The following is a 5,135-nucleotide window of genomic DNA, read 5'->3' as shown; positions in this document are numbered from 1 at the left end:
AGGGATTGAGGGATGCCTCTATTCCCTGTCTTTCAGAATGGCAATCAGTTCTCTTCACCACCCCCAGCTTATACTTCTCTGGAATGTATCCTGAACAACTGGGACTGCTTTGACCCTCAGAATCTGGAGGGAAAATGCCTCATAGCCCTCTGCAAAAAGGTTTGGCCAAATTATGATTTATAGGAAGGACTGGCTTGGCCTCAGGAAGGAACTATCCATTTTTATACCATCTGGCAATTGGAACTTTTCTGTAGATGTGAGGACAGATGGTCTGAGGCTCCGTATGTGCAGGCTTTTTATAACTCGGAAGGCAATCCAGACCGTTGCAACAATGCAGGATTGATTCAGCCCTCCTGTTTGCCATCTCAGGGGAGGCTGCAAGGAGCAGGCTCAGGAAAGTAAAGATACAAGTCCCAGAGGCACCCCCAGCAGAGAAGACAGCTCCCTCTAGTCCTGCTCCTCCAGGTCCACCCCAACTTCCCGATACTGCTTCAGCCTCTCACTTGCCTCTCCTAAAAATCCTCACCCTAAACAAGCCCCAGTCTCACTCTTGCCCCTCCAACAAATGCCCAGTGAATTTGGGCCCAGTAAGGTCCAGGTCTCCTTCTCCCTACAGGACTTAAAGCAAATTAAAGGGGACCTGGGCAAGTTTTCAAACAACCCTGATAGATATATACACACTTTACAGATTTTCGTCCAAATATTTGAATTCTCCTGCAGAGACATCATGTTACTTTTGAATCAGACCCTGTCGGACACTGAGAAGCAGCCCGCTCTGCAAGCAGCAGAGAGATTTGGGAATGAGCTTTGCATCACATATAGCGTCAGGGAAGGGGGCGAACATTATCCAACCAGAAGAAAAGTAGTACCAGTGAATGACGCTAAATGGGATCCCAATGACTAGATAGAAGACTGGAAAAGGAGACACTTTCAGGTGTGCATAATGGAAGGCTTACGTAGGACTAGGACCAAGCCTCTCAATTATACTAAGTTGTCCATGACTGATCAAGAATTTGATAAAAATCCCACTGCCTTCCTGGAAAGGCTAAGAGAGGCCTTGGTAAAGCACACCTCTCTATCTCCTGATTCAGTTGAGGGATAACTAATCCTAAAAGATAAATTTATTACCCAGGCAGCTCCTGACATCAGGAGGAAGCTACAAAAACAGTCCCTAGGACCAGATAGTACATTAGAGGACCTCCTGAAAGTGACTACCTTGGTCTTTTATAATATAAGAGAAAGGGAGGCCCAGGAAAGAGAGAGGAGATACAGGTATTCCCAGGGTACACCTGTTAACTGCTAAAGATATGGCAAGAATATTAATCTCTTCTAAAGTTTATCCGTTCCCATATACGGTTTAATTTCTTTCACCAGGGTGAAACAGCTCAGGGTACAATGTTGTTGTTAGTATATTTCATTTCTTATCTCTGTAATCTTTGGCACTAAACTCTTTCCTTGTATAATACACAGGTTTAATCTATGCATACTTAAAAAACTTCTTTTTTTCTCTCATGCCTAGAAGGCATCAAATTCCAAATGGTCAGGCAACCAGAGCCTCGGACAATGGCTACCCTTTGCTAGGAACCCTTTGATAGACCTCTGGGAGGAATCTGACTGCCATTTTCCCCCAAAACAATGCCCCCTGTCATCAGGAAGCAGCTAAGACCTGTCATCATCCATATTCTAATGGCAGTTAGATGTATCTCTTCAGAGGGGGAAATGATACGGGAGTGCTAGGAAGGGAAGAGTGTGATCCCTTTAAATAATATGGAAGCGGGGAAGAAAAGTTCTGGGTAGAGGAGGGTGTGGTCCCTGGCTAGACTTCCACCACCACGGACCTAGGTGAGGACAGGCATTTCCTGCCCAAATGTTGCATTTCCCAAGACCACCCTGGCCAGCTACGCCCCCATCCTGGGGCTGTAAAAACCCAAGACCCTAGCGGGCAGATGACACACAGGTGGACAGATGTGAAGAGGAGCACATCAGACAGAAGAAGATGCAAGCAGCTGGTCATTGAGAGGACATTGAGAGGAGCATGCCAGCAGAAGAGCACACTGGCAGGCCATTGACTGTCAGAATGAGATGGAGTTTGGCCGGGGCAGTCAGAGGAGTGCCAGGGCCAACAAGCAGCCCAACTCCAGGGGAAAATCATCCTTCTTCTGGCTCCCACATCAGCTGAGAGCTACTTCCACCCAATAAAACTTTGCAGTCCCTCCCCAAACCCATGTATGACCAAATTCTTCCGGTACACCAAGGCAAGAAACCCCAGGATATAGAAATCACTCTGTCTTATGATAAGGAAGGGGGTCTGATTGAGCTGGTTAACACAAGCTGCCTATAGATGGCAAACTAAAAGGGCACCCTGTAACACATGCCCACTGGGGCTTAGGAGCTGTAAATATTCACCCCTAGTCATGGGGTCGGAGCCCCACAGACTGCCCTTCTGTATGCTCCCCTAGAGGTTTGAGCAGTGGGGCACTGAAGAAGTGAGCCACACCCCCATCACATGCCCTGCAAGGGGGACAAGGGAACCTTTCCCATTTCACTAGGATATTCAAAATGGTAAATGAGCATCGGCCTCTACTTAAAGTCACCAGCTGCATTAGTACCTAATGAGAGAGTCAGCCTGTACTTTGAAACTTTGAAGCCAGGCATTGACTTCTCCGCTTTAGCTATGAAAGTCCCTAAACCTCATGAACCATCCTCTGCTAGCTTCAAAGTTTTCTTCTGCAGCTTTCTCATCCCTCTCAACCTTCACAGAATTGAAGAGATTTAGGGCCTTGTTCTGGATTAGGCTTTGGCTTAAGGGAATGTTGTGGCTGATTTGATCTTCTATTCAGACCACTAAAACTTTCTCTATAGCAGCAATAAGGCTGTTTCACTTTCTTATTGTTCATGTGTTCACTGGAGTTACACTTTTTAATGTCCTTCAAGAACTTTTTCTTTGCATTCACAGCTTGGCAAACTGTCTGGCACAAGAGGCCTAGCTTTTGGCCTATCTTGGCTTTTGATGTGCCTTCTTCACTAAACTTAATCATCTCTAGCTTTTCATTTAAAATGAGGGATGTGAGATTGTTCCTTTCACTTGAACACTTACAGGCCATTTTCCAAGTTATTAATTGGCATAATTTCAATATTATGGTGTCTCAGAGAATAAGGAGTCCTGATGAGAGGGAGAGATGGGGGACTGGCCAGTTGGAGGAACAGTCAGAACACAACCAGCATTTATTAATTTTGCCATCTTGTATGGGTGTGGTTTGTGGCACTCCAAAACAATTACAATAGTAACATCAAAGGCCACTCATTACAGATCATCATAACAGATACAATAATAATGAAAAAGTTTGAAATATTGAAAGAATTACCAAAATGTAACACAGAGACACAAAGTGAGTGCATGCTTTTGGAAAACATGGTGCTGACAGACTTGCTCAACACAAGGTTGCTACAAACCTTCCATTTGCAAAAAATGCAATATCTGTGAAGCACAATACAGTACAATAAATCAAGGTTTATCTGTAACAATAACTTTATTGTCTCATCACTAAAATCTGACTTCTCCCCCCAGTTGTTCTCTTATTGTCATTCCATCTATTTTCTTCAAAAAATGGGCTAATAAGAATATTTTAATGTAGGCTTGTCAGGTACATTTATGTGTTGAAATGCCATGAAAAATAAGACATGTCCCTACTGTAAAGAAATAGTCTAGAGGACATGAAATGAAAAATATTACACTTTAGTGTGATTAGAGAAACAATATGAGTATGCACAAGGTGAGCAGATAAAGAAAAGAGCAGTTTCTCTGAGAAAGAGAAGGCATCAAGAAAGGCTTCACAGAGCAATTGGCAATTTGAACAGGACTTAGATAAATAAGTTTTCAGATAGATAGAAGAAGGAGATTATTTTAGGCAAAAAAAAAAAAACAGCCATACAAAAGTGCAAAGGTGTGAAACTGCACTGTGCATTTAGAGAATTATAAAGGGGTGTGATACTAGTGTATCTTCCAAGACAGGGATCTGGGAGTTGAGTAAGACAATATCAGAGTAGAAAACTGAGGCTAGATGAAATGTTTTCTATGCTACTTTATTTTAAAAATTCAACTCTGCATGTAGTGAGAAATCATTTAATAATCATAGCTTATGAAAGAAAAGCAATTGATAAGAAACCAGGGGAAATAGGTTCAGAGAGAGATGATGAGGACCTAAACTATAGGAATAAAGTCAGGAGGAAGAGTTCACAAAGTGTTCACAACGCAAAATCTACACAATTTGTTGAACGGCTTAATGTGGGAAAAAAAGAAGCAGAAGAAATCTAAGCTACCTCCCAGAATTTGGAGCAACTGGTTGAGTAGTTTTAATGCCTGAAGATAAAATTACAGGAAGCTAAGTGAGTTGACTAAGATAGGAAATTTCAGTTTGGGACATGCTAGATTTTTTGATATTTTGATAGATTTGATATTTCCATGAAATATCCAGATGGAGCTCTCCAAGGCATGGTCCAAAACTTGGGGTCATATCATAATGGAGAGATAGTCAGATAGTTACTTTCTCCATATTCTATGGAGATGAAAGAAATATGAAAGTTGTATGTTTATTCACAATAATTATAATAGCTCTTACTTATTGAGAGCCTTGATGTTGGAGATTTTGGTTTTGTATAACAGATACTAGTTTGAGTTCATTTAAGCATAACTACTACATAGATAAGGACACAGGGGTATCTCACAAAACTCAAGTGCAGGGATGCAAGTGTGTTTAAGCAGGGGACTAGAGCCAGGGAGGACCATGCCATAAGGACACTTGGCTCCAGTCTTCTCTTTGCCTCATTTCCTTCTTCCTTATTCTCCCTTGTGAAAGATTGCTTCTTCCTCCCTCTCAATCCACATGCCCATTCACATAGGTGTTACTACTTCCGGAGTAGTATCTCCTCCATTCAAGGCACCAGGCAGAGATTAAGAGGGGGAATCACTTAGTGCTAATTCTGAATTCTAAGGGAAGGTATTCATTATCCAGCTTGAATCAGGTGCCCTAGCTTGAATAACCTGGACCAAATAATTGTAGTGAGGGCTTGGAAGGGAACAGTAGTCCCCAGAAAAGATAGTAGGGAAAATGACCCAAGGTATCCACTACGCACGT

General features: G+C 42.5%; 1 annotated feature.

Moving 5' to 3' along the window:
- Nucleotides 2,430-2,600: a silencer, noted in NCBI's record as "fragment chr1:152350237-152350407 (GRCh37/hg19 assembly coordinates)". NCBI's record gives its function as "represses an EF-1alpha promoter that drives an FKBP-Casp9 reporter gene in an ReSE screen in phorbol 12-myristate 13-acetate-treated (for megakaryocytic differentiation) K562 erythroleukemia cells {active_cell/tissue: K562(+PMA)}" and the evidence as "EXISTENCE:reporter gene assay evidence [ECO:0000049][PMID:32094911]".

Source organism: Homo sapiens, chromosome 1 (genome assembly GCF_000001405.40).
Source record: "Homo sapiens chromosome 1, GRCh38.p14 Primary Assembly".
In the NCBI taxonomy this organism is placed as follows: domain Eukaryota; kingdom Metazoa; phylum Chordata; class Mammalia; order Primates; family Hominidae; genus Homo; species Homo sapiens.
Note: the sequence above shows the minus strand (reverse complement) of the source record. Positions and strands in the feature narration are given on the sequence as shown.